The sequence below is a fragment of the Homo sapiens genome, chromosome X (genome assembly GCF_000001405.40).
Source record: "Homo sapiens chromosome X, GRCh38.p14 Primary Assembly".
Lineage (NCBI taxonomy): Eukaryota > Metazoa > Chordata > Mammalia > Primates > Hominidae > Homo > Homo sapiens.
Genome location: NC_000023.11, coordinates 23404655 through 23426036, shown reverse-complemented (window position 1 = coordinate 23426036; position 21382 = coordinate 23404655).

Here is a 21382-nt window from a genome sequence, read left to right as displayed (position 1 = left end):
CGACACATACACTCTCCCAAGACTAAACCAGGAAGAAGTTGAATCTCTGAATAGACCAATGGGAAGCTCTGAAATTGAGGCAATAAGTAATAGCTTAGCAACCAAAAAAAGTCCAGGACCAGATGGATTCACAGCCGAATTCTACCATAGGTACAAGGAGGAGCTGGTACCATTCCTTCTGAAACTATTCCAATCAATAGAAAAAGAGGGAATCCTCCCTAACTCATTTTATGAGGCCAGCATCATCCTAATACCAAAGCCTGGCAGAGAGACAATAGAAAAAGAGAATTTTAGACCAATATCCTTGATGAACATTGATGCAAAATCCTCAATAAAATACTGGCAAAAAGAATCCAGCAACACATCAAAAAGCTTATCCACCATGAACAAGTGGGCTTCATCCCTGGGATGCAAGGTTGATTCAACATATGTGAATCAATAAACGTAATCCAGCATATAAACAGAACGAAAGACAAAAACCACATGATTATCTCAATAGATGCAGAAAAGGCCGTTGACAAAATTCAACAACCCTTCATGCTAAAAACTCTCAATAAATTAGGTATTGATGGGACATATCTCAAAATAATAAGAGTTATCTATGACAAACCCACAGCCAATATCATACTGAATGGGCAAAAACTGGAAGCATTCCCTTTGAAAACGGCACAAGACAGGGATGCCCTCTCTCACCACTCCTATTCAACATAGTGTTGGAAGTTCTTGCCAGGGCAATCAGGCAGGAGAAGGAAATAAAGGGTATTCAATTAGGAAAAAAGGAAGTCAAATTGTCCCTGTTTACAGATGACATGATTGTATATCTAGAAAACCCCATCATCTCAGCCCAAAATCTCCTAAGCTGATAAGCAACTTCAGCAAAGTCTCAGGATACAAAATCAATGTGCAAAAATCACAAGCATTCTTATACAGCCATAACAGACAAACAGAGAGCCAAATCATGAGTGAACTCCCATTCACAATTGCTTCAAGGAGAATAAAATACCTAGGAATCCAACTTAGAAGGGATGTGAAGGACTCTTCAAGGAGAACTACAAACCACTGCTCACTGAAATAAAAGAGGATACAAACAAATGGAAGAACATTCTATGCTCATGGGTGGGAAGAATCAATATTGTGAAAATGGCCATACTGCCCAAGGTAATTTATAGATTCAATGCCATCCCCATCAAGCTACCAATGACTTTCTTCACAGAATTGGATAAAAACTACTTTAAAGTTCATATGGAACCAAAAAAGAGCCCGCCTTGCCAAGTCAATCCTAAGCCAAAAGAGCAAAGCTGGAGGCATCACGCTACCTGACTTCAAACTATACCACAAGGCTACGGTAACCAAAACAGCATGGTACTGGTACCAAAACAGAGATATACACCAATGGAACAGAAGAGAAACCTCAGAAATAATACAGCATATCTACAACTATCTGATCTTTGACAACCTGACAAAAACAAGCAATGGGGAAAGGATTGCCTATTTAATAAATGGTGCTGGGAAAACTGGATGGTCATATGTAGAAAGCTGAAACTGGATCCCTTCCTTACACCTTATACAAAAATTAATTCAAGATGGATTAAAGACTTACATGTTAGACCTAAACCCATAAAAACCCTAGAAGAAAACCTAGGCATTACCATTCAGGATATAGGCATGGGCAAGGTCTTCTTGTCTAAAACACCAAAAGCATTGGCAACAAAAGCCAAAATTGACAAATGGGATCTAATTAAACTAAAGAGCTTCTGCACAGGAAAAGAAACCACCATCAGAGTGAACAGGCAACCTACAGAACGGGAGAAAATTTCTGCAACCTCCTCATCTGACAAAGGGCTAATATCCAGAATCTACAAAGAACTCAAACAAATTTACAAGACAAAAACAACCCCAACAAAAAGTGGGCGAAGGACATGAACAGACACTTCTCAAAAGAAGACATTTATGCGCCAAAAAACACATGAAAAAATGCTCATCATCACTGGCCATCAGAGAAATGCAAATCAAAACCACAATGAGATAACATCTCACACCAGTTAGAATGGCAATCATTAAAAAGTCAGGAAACAACAGGTGCTGGAGAGGATGTGGAGAAATAGGAACACTTTTACACTGTTGGTGGGACTTTAAACTAGGTCAACCATTGTGGAAGTCAGTGTGGCGACTCCTCAGGGATCTAGAACTAGATATACCATTTGACCCAGCCATCCCATTACTGGGTATATACCCAAAGGATTATAAATCATGCTGCTATAGAGACACATGCACACGTATTTTTATTGTGGCACTATTCACAATAGCAAAGACTTGGAACCAACCCAAATGTCCAACAATGATAGACTGGATGAAGAAAATGTGGCACATATACACCATGGAATACTATGCAGCCATAAAAAATGATGAGTTCATGTCCTTAGTAGGGACATGGATGCAGCTGGAAACCATCATTCGAAGCAAACTATCGCAAGGACAAAAAACCAAACACCTCATGTTCTCACTCATAGGTGGGAATTGAACAATGAGAACACATGGACACAGGAAGGGGAACATCACACACCTGGGACTGTTGTGGTGTGGGGGGAGGGAGGAGGGATCGCATCAGGAGATATACCTAATGCTAAATGATGAGTTAATGGGTGTAGCACACCAACATGGCACATGTATACATATGTAACAAAGCTGCACGTTGTGCACATGTACCCTAAAACTTAACATATAAAAAAATAAGTATTTTAAAAACTGATTTTAAAGAAGCTCAGTGACATACAAGAGAATTCTGAATACCAATACAGAACAATCAGAAGTACAATTCAGAATATGAAAGAAAAATTTACCAAAGAGATATACATTTTAAAAAATAACCAAACAGAAATTCTGGAGCTAAAGAATGCATCAAATGAAACAGAAAATACACATGAAAGCTTCAACAATAGACTAGATCAAGGAAAAGAAGGAATCTCAGAAATTTAAGACAGGTCCTTTGAAATAATCCAGTTAGACAAAAATAAAAACGTATAAAAAAGAATAAGCAAAACTTTTATGACATTTGGGACAACATAAAGTGACCAAATATTCATGTTATTGGTGTCCCCAAGGGCAAAGAGAGAAAGAAAGGTTTAGAAGATCTACTTAATGAAATAGTAAATGAAAATTTTCCAGGTTTAGCTAGAGACCTAGACATTCAGATATTCTGGGGCCCAAAGATCCCCAGACATGAGGCATAAAAGTCTTTTCTAAGCCACATATTGCCAAACTGTCTAAAGTCAAAGCAAAAGTGAGGACACTAAAATGAGCAAGAGAAAAGTATCTAGTCACCCATAAAGGAATCCCCAGCAGACTAACAAGGAGTTTTCCAGCAGAAACCTTACGGGCCAGAAGAAGATGGATGACATATTCAAGGTGCTAAAATTTAAAACAACAACAACAACAACAACAACAAAACCCCCTGCTACCCAAGGATACTACTAGATTTGATACATAAATTCAATAAAGGTGTAAGATACAAAATCAACATACAAAAATTGGTAGCATATCTCTACACCAATAACTAGTTAGCTGAGAAAGAAATGAAGAAGACAATCCCTACTACAATAAATATGAAAAAAATACCTAGGAATAAATTTCACCAAGGGGTGAAAGAGCTTTACAAGGAAAGCCATAAAACACTAATGAAATAAATTGTGGAGGACAGAAACAAATGGAAAACACCTATGCTAATGGATTGGAGGATTTAATATCATTAAAAGCACCATACCGTGCAAAGCAATCTGCAGATCCAATGCAATCCCTACCAAAATACCAATGTCATTTTTCACAGAATTAGAAAAATTATAAAATTTTTATGAAATAAATAGCCAAAGCAATCCTAAGGAAAAAGAACAAAGTAGAAACATCACATTACCTGACTTCAAAATGTATTACAAGGCTATAATAACCAAACAGCCAAAAGGCTATATGTGCTTTCCTAAGGGCAAAAGCTAGCTTTAGGGCAGGACAAATTATGTCCTGCAGGACAAAACAAGGTGAGTTAATTAGCAGGGAGGAAGGACTGTAAGTGAGCCTGGTGGTAGGGCTGAATTCTGGTGTTAATGGTTTGTCCTTAAACGAAAGTGTCTCCCCTAGGTGTTTGGTCTGATCTACCCATCCTGCCTTTATTCCAGTATGTATTGCATAATGTTTTTATCCTTTATTCTGCCTTATTGAATTGGATATTCTGATCCAACCATTTGGGATTGTGGTCATCAAATCTCTCACTTCCTGAAGGTGGATATTCCAGGTGAGGGGATGCAAATATTACAAGCAAAAAGATTATTGTCCCGTGATAACTCAAATGAAATTTGAGGAATGCAGTGTAAACTGGTAACCAATGACAAACAATGGAGAAAAATGACTTACGGAAATCACTGCTCTTTACAGTCAAAGTACAGATCCGAAAGATAGACAGTGACATCTGATTGATGCTCTTTCTGACAAATTGTTTTTCAGCTTTGAATATTTAGTGTGAGTTTGCTTCTGTTGATTTATATACAGAACATAGCATGTTCTTAACATATGCAGGCTCATTGAAGTATCTCCCAAGGAGAAGAGAGAAAGAAAGTCTCCAGAAAGACAAGTTGAATTGGTGACTTTCCAAATAAACTATTGTTTGTATTGAAAGGTCACTTTGCGCTATAGAAATTGAGTAGGCTACGTCTCAATAGAATGTCTGCAAAATATTTTGTTTTTTCAGGAGAGTTGGTAGTTGTATTAGGCTGTTCTTGCATTACTGGAAAGGAATACCTGAGTCTGAGCGATTGATAAAGAAAAGATGTTTCATTGGCTCATGGTTCTGCAGGCTGTACAAGCATGGCAGCAGTGTCTGCTTGACTTCTGGTGAGGCCTCAGGAAGCTTTAACTCATGGTAGAAGGAGAAGCAGGAGCAGCCATATCACATGGTGAAAGCAGGAGCAAGAGAGAGAGTAGCGAGGAGGTTCCACATAATTTTAAACAACCGGATAACTGAGAGAACTCACTCGCTATCCTGAGGGCAGCACCAAGCCATGAGGAATCTACCCCCATGACCCAAACATCTCCCACTAGGCCCCACCTCTAACTTTGAGGATTACAATTCAACATGAGTTTTATGGGGGACAACATCCAAACTATATTAGTAGTCTTAAAATATTTCCTCCTCAGATGCTGCAATAAAGTATTTCAGTTCACGTTATACCTTTCTGATGAAGACAAGAACAAAAATCTCCTAGATTTTTCTTGCCTATTTAACCATGTTTCCTTACCTTCTTAATATTCCTCAAAATGGAACAAACTCCCGCGTCTGCCTTTGGGCCTTATCCCACCCCGTCATGTTCTTCAACTCTCTTACACCTGGTTGAAAACTTACCTTTTCTTAACTCTTCAAAAACTCTTTCAAGATTAACCTCCTCTATATTCTATTATTGCCGTACTCAGAGTCCTCTTAATTCTCAAATCTTTAGTTGATGGGTGTATTATTGATAAGTGGTTGTTTGTTAAATAATTCCCAAGCTGCATCTTTTCTGTTGTCCAGTGTGGTGATATCACAATAGTTGAGAGCATGGGCTTGAATTTTAACTGCATAGAATCAAATCCTAGTCCTACCACTCATTAGCTGTGTGACTTTGGGCAAATTACTCAACTTCTCAGAACTTCAGTTTTCTCATCTGTTAATTGAGGATAATATTAGTGCCTATCTTTTTTTTGTACAAATTTACAAGGTATATAAGTGTGATTTTGTTACATGGTTATATTGTGCAGTGGTGAAGTCAGGGTTTTTAGTGTATTAATCACTGGAATAATGTACATTGTACTCATTAAGTAATTTCTCATCATTCATCCCCCCAACCTCCCCCATACTTCTGAGTCTCCACTGTCTATCGTTTCATACTTTTTGTCCATGTGTACACATTATTTAGCTCCCACTTATAAGTGAGAACATGGGTTGTTTCACTTAAGATAATGGCCTCCAGCTTTATCCATGTTGCTCCAAGTGACATGATTCTATTCTTTTTATGGCTGAATAGTATTCCATTGTGTATACATACCATATTTTCTTTATCCATTTGTCTTTTGGTGGACACTTAGATTGATTCCATATCTTTTCTATTGTGAATAGTGCAGCAACAAACATATGAGTACAGGTATCTTTTTGATATAATAGTTTATTTTCCTTTTTGTAGATAGCCAGTAGTGGAAGTGCTACATCAAATGGTAGTTCTATTTTTAGTTCTCTGAGAAATTGCCAAACTTTATTCTATAGAGGTTGTACTAATTTACATTCTCCTCAACGGTGTGTAAGCATTCCCTTTTCTTTGCATCCTTCCCAATATTTGTAATTTTTGTCTTTTTTAAATAATAGCCATTCTGACTGGTATAAGATGATATCTCATTGTGATTTTGATTCACGTTTCTCTGAAGATTAGTGTCGATGAGCATTTTTTTTTCCCATATGCTTGCTGGCTATTTGTATGTCTTCTTTTGAAAAAAATGTATACTTTTGTCCTTGGTACACTTTTTTTTTTGAGGCAGAGTCTCACTCTGTCGCCCAGGCTGGAGTGCAGTGGTGCAATCTTGGCTCACTGCAACCTCTTCCTCCCGAGTTCAGGTAATCCTCCTGCCAGCCTCCCAAGTAGCTGGGATTACAGGCATGCACTACCACGCCCATATAACTTATTTTGTATTTTTAGTAGAGATGGGGTTTCACCATGTTGGCCAGGCTAGTCTCGAACTACTGACCTCAAGTGATTCTCCCACCTCTGCTTCCTAAAGTGCTGTGATTACAGGCGTGAGCCAATGCACCTGGGTTGGCCCACTTTTTAATGAGATTGTGGTTGAGTTGTTTGAGTTCCTCAGGGATCATTTCTATAGTTTGTTACCAGTGCCTATCTTATAGGGTTGTAAGCATTGAAGAGTCTATATATCAAATGCTCAGATAGCATTCAGTAAATGTTAGTTATTAGTATTAAATAGTAAGAGAAGCTACATCAGCAGGAGAAGCATGTGTAGAGGAAAGAGCATGATTTTATTGAAACCCATATCTGCAGCTTTGTTGCGTGGTGATATTGGGGATGTCACTTACACTTTCTGAGCTGTAGTTTTTAATATACAAATAGAGATAATAATAAATATACTAACTTCGGGGCCGAACTGCTAGGGAATAAACACAATGCTCGTGTTTTGAGGTGCTGACAAATATTTATTTCCTTCCTCCCTAAGTTATCAATTAAAATAACCTTAGTTTTTAATACACAAATAGAGATAATAATAGATATACTAACTTCTGTGCTGAACTGCTAGGGAATAAACATAAGGCTTGTACTTGGAGGTGCTGACAAATATTTATTTTCTTCCTCCCTAACTTTTCAATAAAAATAACTACTGCTTATTTTAATCAAGCTAATATTTTCTTTCCCATCATCTCCCAACCCTGCTAATTAGTTAATTCAGCAAAACTTTGGTGAAGAAAAAAATTAATCAACCTGTGTATTTAGCATCTTGGAGATTGAATCACCTAGCGTGTTGATTTTTTTCACTCTTCAGCCTGGATTCACATTGCTTGCATTATTGTCTAGGTTTACTTATTTCTAGAGACCATCTACATTCCCAAGTAATATTCTTATGTACACAGAATTTCCTGCCCTAAATTAAAGAATAGGTATTTGTGAATTGGAGGCAGCAAAATGGGTAGTCAAATCAACCAGAATTGAATGTTCAGTTGCTCCCTGGGGCTGTGGAATTAACCTAAGTGGCTGATTCTGAAACGTGATTTTAATTTTGTTATTGTTTCCAAATCCTCAGTGGATGTGGATATTGTCTCCAGAAGCATCCCTATAGCTTTCATGACAATAAGATCAAATATTGAGGTTGATTTTTTGGTCCTTATACTGCATGAAGAAACAGTAAGGAGTTTGAATGTTTATCTTTCTTCATAACATAAACCTCAGATTTGTGAAAAAACCCCTACAGTCTGTGATCTGGGCCTTGGCAGCATCAGCATCAACTGGGAGCTAGATAGAGATGCACATTCTGAGGCTGCACCCTAGAACTATTTATTTAGAATCTCTGGAGCTGAGGCCCACTATCTTTGTTTTAAGAAACCCTCCAGGTAATTCTTATGCCAGAGTTTGAGAAGCCCAGCTCACTAGAGTCTTGTCAAATTCTGAATGACTTGTAACAAACTGCTTTAAAAAAGAGGTAAACTCTACTTTTAGGCATAGAAATTTTAAAAGGTTGGCTTAAGTCTAGGCACAGTTTCTCATGCCTGTAATGCCAGTGTTTTGGGAGGCCGAGACAGGAGGATCATTTGAGACCAGGAGTTTGAAGCCAGCGTGGGCAACATAGTGAAACCCCTGTCTCTAGAAAAAATAAAAAAAAAAATTAGCTGGGCATGGTGGCACATGCTTGTAGTCCCAGCTACTCAGGAGACTGAGGCAGGAGGGTCATTTGAGCCCAGTAGTTTGGGGTTACAGTGAGCTATGATTACACCACTGCACTCCAGCCTGGGCGACAGAAGGAGATTCTGCTCTAAGAAAACAATAACAACAAATGAACAACAACAAAAATGTTGGCTAAGTTACAATTTGTACTGTTTAATTTTTGAAGCCCTGAATCACTTATTCTTCACTTTATATTTTTTCACAACTGAAAGACAACTGGGCTGTCTTTCAGTACCCTTGAAGGATGTCATGGAATTCTAAAAAATAAGCCCCTCAAAACAAAATAAGTTTTAATGTAGTTTTTAAAACTATGACATTCTGGGGCAGAATATGGAACCATTGGAAACTAAACAAATAAAAGGAGGCCAAAACTTCATAAGTCTGAGAGTCACTGTCTTCAATATTGGCCAGATGAATTTTATGATTTTAAGGCTAATTGTACCCATATATATGACTGTACTTCTTTTTCTCTTTAAATCCACACTTAATTGAAAACTGTAGAATTATAGTTCATAATATAAAATCTTTTCTCGGAAATGATAAATAATTCTGAATGGAATTAAGTAAATACCTAGCATATTGAACTATCATGGTACAGATCATTCTTGAATTAGCTTTCACTCCTTTGGTGGAATACGTAATGTCAGGGCAGCCTGTCACAATCCCAGCAAAACAAAACCAACCCATCAGCTGCCAAGCATACGTCTATTGAAGAGGTGAAGGGTCTGGCGGACTTCAGCATTTAATGAAGCCTATTATTTCCTAGAAATTAACTGAGTGTTATTAAACTTTGCTGATGGCAAATAACTATTCTGACCACAAATTCTTCCATTTATGAAATGTGAAAGGCAAGTGAGGATATGGAGTGATGCACACACAAAAAAAAACCGTAGAAAAAAATCCCCTAAAAGAAGGAATCTTATGGCTTTGTAACATACTGGCCTCCATGTAGAGAGATATTGTTGGTGACCCACTCAGTACTCTAGGACAGCCCATTTGAGTCATTTTTCTAGGGCTAGGACATAGAAATACGGGCATAAATTATGGCTTGCATACTCAGGACCAGCTGACTTAACTCCTTTCAGTGGGAAGTGTCTCAGAAGCAAGGCCTGTGGACACTGGAGAAATGACAGTAAGTGGCAGAAACCACAAGAGGGGCTTCGCCCTTCTTGCCAATGAGATATTCTTATAACTTGCTCCTCAATCACCTAATCTTTTGGTAAAATGGGCCACCTATAGATCCCCCAGTTTTTGCTTTAAAAATAAGTACAAGAATTAAAGTGTCTAAAGCAGTTGCCGTGCATGATTAGAGAGGACTAGATAGATAGAAGGATGATAGATAGAAGAAGAGATAGAAGAATAATGCCTGCTCTGTTGATCTGCGTGCTCTTGTGATCTTGCTGTTGAGAGGTGAAGTCCAAGGAGCAGGAAGAGGTGGGGATGGCAAGGAGGTAGAGAATACGTGATGGCCACAAATGGAAGTGATTGTTCTCAGGTAAGTCATGCATTTTGGGAGTTATGTTTCAAGGGTATTCTCCTCTATCCTTGGCTATGTTGTAAACAGTTCTTGAGTCCTTTGACAGCCATTCTGTTGGGCAGCTCTTTTCTTGTGTGCTCATGTTCCCCAAATAACCAGCGTGTAGAATTGTCTGATGTGATGGATGTGTTGATCTTAGCCCTGTTATGGCTACAGCTCCTGACAAATGACACTGTCTAGCCTGTGGATCTCCATTGGCTAAAATTGTTCAGCTTAAAAAGTGGCTCATTTTGTTGAAAAGGAAAGAAAGATTTCTGACTTCAGGCCCGTAAGTGTCATGCCCTCACGTATTCCTTCTCTTTCAGAATGCACAACACCCAGCCTTATGGTGCCATAACAGCAATGAGAAAGGATGGAGTGTGGATGGTGGCTTCCCCTTGTAGGGAAAAATTTCTCCTCTGAGGTCTTCTTTCTCCAGCCTAGTAATCACAAGTGTATTTCTGTGCAGCTTTTCTTCAACCTTGAGGTTTTGATTCCATTCCTTCAATTGCTTTTGGGAAAACTGATCCCACCCGTGGCTCTAGAAGTGAGATCTCTTTCTTAGGCCCGAGATTCTGAGGGTAATCCCATTCCTTGACCATACATATTGGTTCATGGATGGATTTGTGATATCATAGTAATACTAGCAACTCCTGGGAAAGAAGCTTCTAGGATCTTAAAGCTAGATTGATTCTCTCCCTCCCTTGAAGAGTATGTATCTCTAGGAGCCACTGGAACTGTCTTCAGACTAGAAAGGGGAAACATCCTGAGGATAAAGTTGTCTCATGGAGGAACGAATCTGGGCCTTCTGTTTCATTGTTGAGCTACTGAATCAAATCTACCCTAAAACCTGTCTGCCCTAACCCTTAACTTTCAAATTACATTGGCATTTTATCGTTTAAGCTATTTTGAGTTGGCTTTTCTGTTACTTACAACCTAATTGACCCTAAAAATACAGTGAATAGAAATGGCATTTGAGTGGGGTGGTTAAATGAAGACAGTTTTCATCATGTTTTCAAATTAGCAGATGAGACCTTTTGGAGGTCGTGGAATTCAGAGATAGGTAGAAGGCATTGCCGACTTATAGGAGTCTCTTGGATGCTAGTATTGATATGCCTATCTTCTTTTTCAGTCTATTTACAAGTCCCTCAGTAAGATGAGTTTCTGCCATAGCTGCATGATATTGAGCAGGTACTTAATGACTGTCATATCCAATTGAGTAAAAGCAATGTTATACTACTGAGAAAGCATGTATACTTCTTCCACTCCCTTCTTGGTAAATTTGCTAGTGTCATAAAAAGGTCATATTTTCACAGTTCATCAGATCTTGAGTCTTTGGGCCTTTTATTGAAGAGTGGATCTTTGGGATTATGGGTGATGGCCTTTTGCAGGACACTGGAAACAGTGCCATAGAGCACAGGAAGGGCAGGCAGCACAAATTAAGCCTTTATTATTGCTGCAGTTGCCTCCAAAATGTTTTGACACTCCCTTGCCCTCTTCAGTTTCTTTCTAAGCTGCATTGACCTCTGTATCTTTCAGTGTTACTTATACCATATACTTATTATTCCAGAATGAGTACATGTCAAGGAACTTTCACTTTACGTAATCAAGAACAAATAACACATTGTTCATTCATAAAGGAAGCTGATGGTACATACTTGCCAGTAAGATGATTGAGAGGTATTTCTCTTGAGGAAGGGGGTCCCATGTTACTCTTCATAATTTCTTGGCCCCATCATGGGTCCCATTACAATTCATGCCCATCCTATGTAGGGTCAACAGTTGATCTGAGTATACTTGCCTTTAAAAATAATCTACTTAATATCTGTTTCTATAACAGACTCTATAGTAGGCCATCCAGTTAAAGCTGCAATGAATGTGATCTCTTTCACAGAATCATCCGGTTAGAAGTAAGCAACAATTTAAAGACTTTTAATACATACGGCATCCATCAAAATCCTGTGTGATTTGAAGTTTTAATAAATTTTCTTGTCTGTAAGAGAAACCATTTATGAAACAAAACAGAGAAAGCATTAATACAAGATTTAAATAAAAGCCTTAATGATTTGTTTGTTCTAATTTATTTATTTATTTTGGAGACAGAGTCTCGCTCTGTTGCCCAGGCTAGAGTGCAATGGCATGATGTCGGCTCACTGCAACCACCGCCTCCCAGGTTCAAGCAATTCTCATGTCTCAGCCTCCCGAGTAGCTAGGATTACAGGCATGCACCACTATGCCTGGCTAATTTTTGTATTTTTAGTAGAGACAGGGTTTCACCATGTTGCCCAAGCTGGTCTCGAACTCCTGAGCTCATGTGATCTGCCTGCTTCAGTCTCCCAAAGTACTAGAATTACAGGCATGAGCCACCATGCCTAGTCTCTAATTTACTGATTTTGATTTCTTATGTTATACCCAATAGTTACATACAAATGTACCAAAAATGAGGACATACATAAAAGATAACATTACTGCTATTAAATGAGCTAAAACTTGAGTCATTTCCAAGTAGTTGCAACCATTTACAAATATCCTTTTCTATGAGATATTAAAATGTCTTTGTCTTTATAGAATTACTTCCCACTTTTCATCACCTAAAGCAACTTATTTTGGTAGTGAATTAGAGGTCAGTATGGGCAGGGGAAATATTTAAATCCCACCTGATTTCCCACCACTTTCCTCACCTGTCTCATATGTTCTGAATATCCTCTGTTTTCCTTGGCAGGTGACTTGAGGAAAATTTAGGTGACTTTTATGTAAGCGGTTGGAATATTTGAAGGGAAAATGGTTACAAGGAAATGAATAATTGATAATCGATAGTAACAGAACATCATGATTTGTGTGCCACAGTTAATAATCAAGTTTGTTCCTTATAGAGGATCACAGTGCCAGAAATACCATTTTTCACACAGATCAATTCAGCATATAAAAGTTATAATCAAATCAACAATCTTTTTTTGCCAGTTGAGGAAATAACCTTGTTCCTTAATCCTCTCTTTCACAGTGAGATATGTTGTGATACCATTCGACCAAGGGATTCTTTGAAATAGAAGGACTTTGACAATCATTAGTCAAAGATTGGCGAGCAGAACAATTTAAACCTAAATCTAATTTATCAAAAATTAGTTTGAAATTAAGAAAAACTTTCTGGAATGATAATATAAATTAGGGTTACAACAGAAAAAAAGTACATTTAGGCATCTTTTTATAATATGATTTTTAAAGAAAGAGGTATACTCCCTACCATTGACAAGTTCTAGGATAGCTAGAAATGACAGTTTCAAACAGCCAAGCACCTTATGAAAAAAATACTGTGCTAAATAAATGAAGTCTACTCAGATACAGATTAGGCACTCCATTCTTCCCCTTCTCACCCCCATCTCCTATCTCATCTACCTCTTGCCGGTTCAGGTACTCTAATCTCATGGTAATTTCTTTCTTTCTTTTTTTTTCTTTCTTTGAGATGGAGTCTCGCTCTGTTCCCGAGGCTGGAGTGTAGCGGCACCATCTCGGCTCACCGCAACCTCCACCTCCCGGGTTCAAGTGATTCTCCTGCCTCAGCCTCCTGATTAGCTAGGATTACAGGCGTGCGCCACCATGCCCGGCTAATTTTTGTATTTTTAGTAGAGACGGGGTTTTACCACGTTGGTCAGACTGGTCTCCAACTCCTGACCTCGTGATCCGCCCGCTTCGGCCTCCCAAAGTGCTGGGATTACAGGCGTGAGCCACAGCGCCCGGCCTCTCGTGGTAATTTCGCAGTGGCAGGCTGCCATCTTAAATCCTATCATTGTCCCTGGCACTCTTCCATTTTGAGATGAAGCTGAGCGATTAGAAATATTGTGTTGGGACTTATGATGCTGGGAAATGTTAAAGCTGGTACTTTAAAAAAATTTTAATTTTTATGGTACATAGTAGGTGTATATATTTATGGGGTACATGAGATGTTTTAATACAGGCATGCAATGTGAAATAAGCACATTTTGGAAAATGGGGTTTCTATCCCCTCAAACATTTATTTTTTGAGTTACAAACAATCCAATTATTCTCTTTAAGGTATTTTAAAATACTTAATTGAATTATTATTGACTATAGTTACCTTGTTGTGCTGTCCAATAGTAGGTCTTATTCATTCTTTTAAAATATTCTTATTTTGTATCCATTAACCACCCCACCTCCCCCGCCACCCTCCCACTACCCATCTCTGCCTCTGGTAACCATCCTTCTATTCTCTATGTCCATGAGTTCAATTGTTTTGATTTTTAGATCCCACAGATAAGTGAGAACATACGATGTTTGTCTTTCTGTGCCTGGCTTATTTCACTTAGAATAATGATCTCCAGTTCCATCCATGTTGTTGCAAATGACTGGATCTCATTCTTTTTTAAGGCCGAATAGTACTCCATTTGTGTGTATGTACCACATCTTCTTTATCCATTGATCTGTTGATGCACATGCATGCAAATCTTTTTTTTTGCAAATCTTAATTAGTGTAAATAGTGCTGCAACAAACATAGGAGTGCATAGATCTCTTTGATATACTGATTTCCTCTCTTTTCGGTATATACCCAGGAGTGGGATTGCTGGATCATATGGTAGCTCAATTTTTAGTTTTTTGAGGAACCTCTAAACTGTTCTCCATAGTGGCTGTAGTAATTTACATTACCACCAACAGCATACAAGGATTCCCTCTTCCCTTTTCTCTACATCCTTGCCAGCATTTGTTGTTGAAAGCTGGCACATTCTTGTTACTGAGAACCAAGAATGGATACCTGGGAAAAATATATCAAGTAGTATTCCTAATTGTTCAATGGCCAGTTTTTCTTGTCTGATTATTTCTTCAGCTAATAAGAAGTACCATCTGGCTGCTGTGGACAGAAGGATGGGATGTGCTATAGTAGAAAATAAAATATTGTGTAGATTACAACTTCTTCAAAGGAAAACCTGTCAGGGAATATTAAAGAAATGCTTCTATTTGGATATCTCTTGAAGAAATATTAGAACTACATTGAAAGACTGTTGTTATTCAAATTGCTACTTTCTGCTACTAGTCTTCAGATGACAGTGCAAAATTGAACAAAGGAGTTTAAAATCATAGCCTTGATCCGAGCCAAGGGGTAGCTACCACAAAGAGAAGCCCTATAAAGAGAACAAGTTTTAAGCCACAAATAGTTTCTTCTTCTCCAGACTTTCCTTGAGATGCCTTCTGAATACAAGAACTTCCAGAGTAGCGTGTCCAAATAATTGGAAACTTATACTCATTTTTACTCTAATTCTATAATTGACATAATTAAGGACTTCTTTTCATAAAACATAGACGCAGAAGAACCCAACTCAAATTTGCCACCTTCGCAGTGAAGAGGGCCAGCAAGTTGTGGGGAAGTTTCATGGAAGTGAAAGGAAATTCAAAGAGTACATGAGCGATGTCTTACTAACTTCTTTATGTATGACCAGAGGAAGACAGGGAAAGGGGGATATTTTACTTTGAAAATGGATCTACTATTCTTTCTGAACACAGAAGAAACAATCAAGAGAATGGAACACAATTCAGCATGAATCCGGAGTAGAACTCATGTGGCTATCAGGGAGATTATAGAAGTGTAGCACTTAATATTTAAAAATATGAAGGTCATGGGAAATGCCGACTAATGGTGAGTAGCTTGCTTGCAGACGAGGGGTGGCTTCTTGTAGCTATGGTTGACAATTACGTCTGTTTGTTAAGATTTAATGGGGGAGATACAGGTTTCCCTGAACTCTGGGTGGAGAGGAAGCCCAGTGTATGAACTGAACATGCGTTTCTGTTGTTTTCATGTGTAACATTTCGTTCATGGCTTGGGCAGCCGTAATCTGCATTAACTATGATATCTGGAAGAGAGTTGAGTATATGACTGTGCTGTGATGTGTTCATTAACTGAAGTACTTATGACAGTTCTAGGTTCTTTTGCTTTTGGATATGAGTGTAATTTGATTTTATCTATAAATACATGGAGCAAATGTTAGTGCATAAGCCATTGGAATAGATATGGCATGGATAAGACACATTATAGATGCCGATCTGCAGGTGGTAAAGGACTGCCAGAATCTGACCTAGAAGCACTTCTTCCAAAATCCTAATTCCAGACTCAAGGAATGTCGAAGGCTCCGAGGAAGACAAGAATGAGGGAGAGTCAGAGGTTTTCAAGAGTTCAGCCTCCACTAAATATCCCCAAGACCCAAATCAATGGTGTTACCCACCCACACATGTACTGAGGTAGTTACAGGCACAACTTTCAACACCAGGAACTGGATATGTTTTAGTTGTAGTCAATAGCCCTTCAAAAGTGGCTGGATGTTGGGTGGAGAGATACAGGCAATGGCATGCTGAAGCTGGCTCATTCCAATTTGTGAGAACCAATTGTTACATTTTCAGGAGTTTTGCAAGCCAATTATTAAACCATGAGTAGCTTGGTATAGGCCATGCCACCCCTCTTCCCCTGGCAGCCAGTTGTTAAAGTTTATCAGCACACAATTGGATATGAAGCCTCTGGTACAAACAAAGATAAACTAGAATTAGAGCTCTTCTTGGTGCTGACACTATACCCCAGTTTTTCTCCAGTCATCTGTTTTCTTAATCCTGTTCATACCTTAGAATGACGTAGCTTCCAGAGTACCTCGTGAGCTATGATCTTTATCTGCATCTACTATGCCTATGGCCTTAGTTTTTCAGTATTGTTAACCAGCTTTTACTTTTCCCTTGGTGGTCTTATTCTGCTGGAGCCCTTACCTAGACCTTAGCTTACCTGCCTTTAGTCTTGGCTTAGATCCCTGCAGAGCCAACCTCGTGGTGTCTCAGAGAGCTAAAGAATCTGTTCAGTGTCTGCATATATATATATATGCATACATGTATATAAAATATGCCTCATTGTACCAGACTGCTGGTGCTCTGTCCATATCCTTTAACACTTACTATTTTACTATATGCCAAGAGCATCTACTGCAGACACCTGTAGCTCTCTCCTTGAGGCCTCTTCTTCAGGTCACAGATGGGGCAGGCTGTAGGTGCTGGCAAGTTAATGAGGAGTTAATAATGGTGAGTTAATAAGGAACCTTTATCCAATATTTGATGGAAGTGGAAGTTAAATACCCCAGATTACCCAGATAGAACTCTGAAGTATGTTCCATAACCATCTCCCAGAAGTCTCCAATGGGATTGGGCTCCAGCTGCCCATAGAGGTAACCTGTTCATTAATATATCCCCTGTTGTCTTCTCCCCAGTCCCTGTATCACTTTGCCTCTCCCCTGCTGGTATTCCTGGGATTACCTCCTAAACAAACCACTTACATGCACATATTGTCTCCTAGTCTGATTCTGGGGGAGACCCATTCTGAGACACTCATCTCCCTCATCATTATGTCAATAACAGATTGTAAGACATGTATGAACCAAATTCTGAAAAATGCTTGAGTTATAACACCTGAATTAGAAGATTCTAGGCTGGCACATCACACACTAGTAAATGTTCAACTCGGCATCTGCTTTATTTTTAATGCTGTGTGATGGCCAAACGTTTTGCAGTAGTGTTTGTTGTGTTTTCCCTTTGCCATGATCCAAGTAATGCAATAGGGGTACATACGTAGTTGTTTTTAGTTGTGTGCTTAATTTTAAAATCTGTATAAATATGAAATGACAGAGGTGTCTGTTTATTAAACACTGCAAGATTGTAGGATATTACACAGTATGTGACAGTATTTCAGCTTGTAATTGTGTCCTTTAGCTGTTGATACGTAATTCTATAACTTTTAGGAAAGAGTTAATCTGGAAGCCGCATCAGCCACCCTTTAGCGGAACCCAGGAATCCTTACAATCGCAAAAGTTTGGGAAACATTTGAGCCATACTAGCTGAAGTCTATGGATTGTTTTTTGAGTATTCTGAAACAGTAAAAGAATAAGGGAGGAGGGAGAACACTTTTAGAGAGAGAAAAAACATTCAAATTAATACAATGATAAAAATATTTTCACTTGCTAAGATTTCCAATTTCTTTAGTAATGGAAAGGAAATGCCCAGACCCTAGAAGGATTGAAAGTAAAGTCCTACTGTGAATTTGTATTTAATGACATTGCTGAATTTCCAGATTTTCTTTTCACACCTACAAAAGAAATGCTGGGATACAAATCTCACAACTATAGTTATTTCAAGTTTAAGCTTTGGACTCAGTGTGTATATATACAGAAATTATTTAGTAGTACTAGATCATTCTAAAATTTACCTTTTAGCCATGGAACATCAATTGCCAAGGTCTGTTAAACATATTTAGTACTACTTCCTGGTTTTGGGGTTTTTTTTTTGGTCATTCTATAATTCTTCTATAATGCAAGGTCAAGCGAAAAATTAAGTGGGCCCCTTTTTCTAACAACCATACATTTTTTAATTCATATAAATGCAGACAAATATGACAGCCTGGGATCCTTTACTTGATGGCTTCTAGGACTCTATTCTTACAGATTCAACATCTGTATTCCTGTTCAAGCTATAGTGATGGGTACTTATTATACATTCTTTTGGGGGTCTCTCCCAATGGATGTTTTTGAACTTGGCTTAGGTACTGTGACTCAAGGTTTTTTGTTTCTGTTTTTGTGTTTATTTTCTGTGAGTCAGTGATGCTCTCTGCAGAAATGAAGATTTTCATGTAGATGATGAAATGTCATCTCAGTGTAACACCTCGGGGGAGATAGCACTTGCCTCCAAGAGGGCAGGGTCTGGCATCTTGAGCCATGCCTTAGTATAAGAAATGTTAGTTTTCTCACCTCTCACTCTTTACTGTTAATTATTTTTTATTCTAAGAAATGACTCTTCCATTTTATAAAGTAAAATCATTGCTCCCCATGGTGGTTTTGAATAGACTTTAGCCCTTCGTCAATTTTCTAATTCTAAAAATATTTAAATTTTATAAAATATAACAATTGCTTCCCCCACCCTAGTTTTGAATATAGACTATCAACACCCTCATTCTTTCACAAGTCTGCCTATTCAAGTATGAGGCACAAATGAGAATATGCTATATTGAGGTTTTTTTTTTTTTAAATATCTCCTATGGGCTGTGTGTGGTGGCTCACACCTGTAATTCCAGAACTTTGGGAGGCTGAGGCAGGAGGATCATCTTGAGGCCAGGAACTTGAGGCTAGCCTGGGAAACATAGGGACACTCCCATCTCTACAAGAAATTAAAAAAGAAATTAGCCAGGCATGGGGGTGTGTGCCCATAGTCCTAGTCACTCAGGAGGCTGAGGCAAGATGATTGCTTAAGCCCAAGAGTTCGAGGCTACATGACTGCACCACTGCACCCCAGCCTGGGCAACAGAACGAAATTCTGTCTCTAAAATAAAATAAAATAAGCCACTTATGTTTAAGATCAAGCCCTATTGTCCTGTTGATCTATGCCAGCTGAAACATACAGCTTTTCATCCCATTTTAGATTCCAGCAAAAGCTAAATATTTTATGAGCTGCAACACTCACCAATTTTGCAAAGGGGATGGTAAAATAACCTAATTTAAGATCCAAAATCATCATCTACAGTCCATTTTAAAGTGAAAATTCTTTAAAAAGAAATCCTATTTTTATCTTTCCTCATAGAAAAAAAGGACAGAAATGGGAAGTAAAATATTTTCGCCTATCGAAAATTTTCCATGTATAGAAGTCATCCAGGTTGCCTGGTGACCTCATTGAAAGGAACAGTATTCATTCTTCTTCCACCCTTATGGGGAGGTTTTATCAGTACCCTTTTATAGGCAGCAACTTGAGCGTTGGCCTGTCTTCAAGGGAGATGTGGACTAAGATGGAATCATTTATTATAAAATGTCCCCAGAAATCTGGAATATGCACCTATCATTTTTCCATTAGGATAGAAACTTAACAAAGTATATGTTGAAAAATTAAAATAAATTCATTCACTTTCTCTTTTCCCTTAGCCTTTATTTTCCGGGCTATATAGGGAAATGTCAATGCTTCAGAGTAAAGCAAAGTGGGCAAAAATCCAAGGGATTAAATTTAGTTTCAGTGGCTGTCTGCTCACCATAAAATATTTCCAAGTTAGCTAAATTAATTGAATATGCAGTTACGAAATGGAATGCCCCAAGGAATTGGTAGCAAAGGCCTGGTGTGATATATTTACTTTTCTAACCCGATTTTTTCATCTGCATTACAGGTTTGGCTTCTAAAAAAGGAAGTCAGCCTGGATTGCTGACCCTTCTTCCATTTGTTGGAGAGTTACCTCTGATGAGAGAATGTTCACGGAGAAATTATCCTGTGTATGTTTACACACACACACACACACACACACACACACACACACACACTCTAGACATTCACCCGCCAGCGTGTGTGTGTGTGTGTGTGTGTGTGTGTGTGTGTGTGTGTGTGTGTGTGTTAGAGAGAGAGAGAGAGATCTGATTTCAGTTTCCATGGAAATGGGCTAAATAAGGACTTTAGCAGACAGGAGTGAGTGCTACTTCTCCTTTAGCTGTTCCCAGCTGCTGGGTTCCAGCTCAGCACTATTGAAACAAAATCTGAAATAATCCCAGTTCTTTACATTATGATATTGTAATTTGGTACCTGTAACATATAATTTTAGATTCAAACTTTCTTTTGTGACAGTGATAATCACTCATCCATTTATTTAGTCCTGTGAAATGAACTAAAAAAGAACACTAACCTAGCAACTCCCGACAATTGTTTTGACACCCCATGTATATATACTGCTTTGTTACTTTCCTCCTAGGTTTCTCCCCTTTCTCTCCATACAGGTGATGACCTATAACTAATACACCCAACATTTCCTCTTCCCAACCCTAAATACCCAGGGAAAACCAGAATTCTACAGAAAGAAGAGGCCAAGCTTATATTTTTTATTAGGCTTCTGCTGACTTCTTGTAAGCCCAGGCATGCAGGCATATAGGGTGCTTCCCACTACAATTTTATTTCCCCATTTGTGATTATATATTAAACTAAGGCCAGGAACTGGTTTTTCTTTTCTTACTTCAGAGACAGAGGTGTACCATTGTGACTGTTAAGCCAAAGAAGGCACCATATACAAGGTTTTATAAAAAGACATCTGCTGCTAAAGAAATACACAAGCAAGCAAACACAAAAAAAACCCCAAACCTCTGCCTGTAGGATATTGAGTCATATACACTTTTTTTTTGATTGCTAATCTGGTATAAACAAAACAAAACATAAACAACACTGAAGAACCCATACTAATTACTCTTAAAGAGAAATGAAATACCTGGACATAAAAAAGAAAGAAAAGGCCAGGCGCGGTGGCTCATACCTGTAATCCCAGCACTTTGGGAGACCGAGGCGGGTGAATCACTTGAGGTCAGGAGTTCAAAACCAGCCTGGTCAACATGGTGAAACCCCGTCTCTACTAACAATACAAAA